Source organism: Homo sapiens, chromosome 1 (assembly GCF_000001405.40).
Source record: "Homo sapiens chromosome 1, GRCh38.p14 Primary Assembly".
Taxonomy (NCBI): Eukaryota; Metazoa; Chordata; class Mammalia; order Primates; family Hominidae; genus Homo; species Homo sapiens.
The window spans coordinates 214,123,124-214,124,794 of NC_000001.11; the positions used below are offsets into that span (position 1 = coordinate 214,123,124).

Genomic DNA, 1,671 nt, shown 5'->3' on the forward strand with positions numbered 1-1,671 from the left:
AAATCAAATTAAAGTGTTAGTTCAAGAATTCCATCCCGTGAACACGTTAGAGTGTCCTACTTGTCCTCAGGCTACCATCCTGCTTGAGCTGTTAGCACTTTTCCTGAGGCAGACAACTTCCTTAACTCACACCTGAAACAAACAAACAAAAAGCTGATGTCAGCCCGGGCGGTCCTTTCCCCTCCTGGCTCTTTCCCTTTGCTAGAGAACTGAAATCAGATGAGTTGCTGACATCTGGTGGTAACTAAGCGGAGTGTAATCTCGGTCTTGGAAGGACTTTTGTCTCTGATTCCAATACACTCCCCCAGCCTCTGATTCCTGGAGGCCTCCCCTTGAGCTTACAAAATTGTTTTATCCAAAGGGAAAGCAAAAGAGCAAACTAAGAAACAACAGAAACAATTTCCCACGGTTCTGAGAAGATGAGTGTTGGCCACCAGAATGAAAAGTCAGCCTTCTCTAGAGACAACCAACACTTCTTGGATTTAGACAAAGATTAGACTTGATCCCAACAGACTTGATGAGTCATGAGAATAAATAACACAGGGAAGTCTCTTTTGGTTAAAGGTAACATTTTTCTTGCAGCTGGGAATAATTCTGCTGTACTCATTTTCTCTTGGCCATTCAAATATTTTAAAAAGCTCCCCATTTTTTGGGGGCCACAGAGTAGACAGTGGTTTCTGAAGCATTCTGCATTGTTCTACTCTTCTACCTCTCAGCATGTTGCGTGAAACCTCAAATCCTTGCTCACAAAAGTTCTTAAACTTCATCTTCAGAGAAAAATGTAGAACCTTCACTCTGGATAGGACAAAGGCATCCACTAATGAGACGTGCAGGGCCTAAAGGTATGTTAGGTGATTCCCAGTACTAGTGTCTGGGAGTATCAGAGAAGGAGGTGTCCTAAACGTTGCAAGCAGAAAGAAAATCAGTCACTATTCTAAAATGCTATTTGATTTCTTCGTAGCATGTATCACTAAAAACAAAATGTATTTTGTTCATGTGTTTGTTTTCTTGGTTTTCACCTGTATCCTCCTGGTTTTGCCTTCCTTACTCAACACACCTCTCCTCTTGAAAACTAGAAAATAAACTTGAGAACAGAAACCTTGGTGGTCTTGTCCACCGTTATATCCCAGTACCTAAAATACATGACATGCTAAACTTCTCAAATACTTATTTTACAAAAGAATGACAATACACTCCCATAGTTCCAGGGAGTCCCTACTTTACCATCCCTCACTCCAGAAAGCCCGCAAAAGCATCCCATCCAGGGAAGCTCTCTAATGACTCTTTTTCCCATTCATCGACAGCAGAGAGCAAAAAGCCAATATCCAGGGCCCAGCCTAGCGACCTCCTAAGATTCCTGGAGGTTGACGGGTGTTAGCACAGATGAAGGCTGCCTTCACCAGAAGGCCTTCCAAATGCTTCAGGGCATTGGAGACAGAAATCTTTACGGGCAGCGTTGAGTCTATTACAGCATATCTTGGTGCTAGATTGCTATCTGGGTGTGCATGAGTCTGTGGGGGCCGGGGGAAGTGTGCTGGAAAACTTTCCCTCTGTCTCCAGCTAAATGGCTTCCTGAGGAAATGAGAAATGGGGGTGGGGTGGGTGGGAAGGAATGAAAAAATTCCAGTAAGGAAAAATAAAAGACTTTTTTCTATGGAACAGGGAGTGTTA

At 43.2% G+C, this 1,671-nt stretch overlaps 1 annotated feature.

Moving 5' to 3' along the window:
* Window positions 212-301: a silencer, noted in NCBI's record as "silent region_1810". NCBI's record gives its function as "represses an Ori minimal core promoter by ATAC-STARR-seq in GM12878 lymphoblastoid cells {active_cell/tissue: GM12878}" and the evidence as "EXISTENCE:reporter gene assay evidence [ECO:0000049][PMID:35858748]".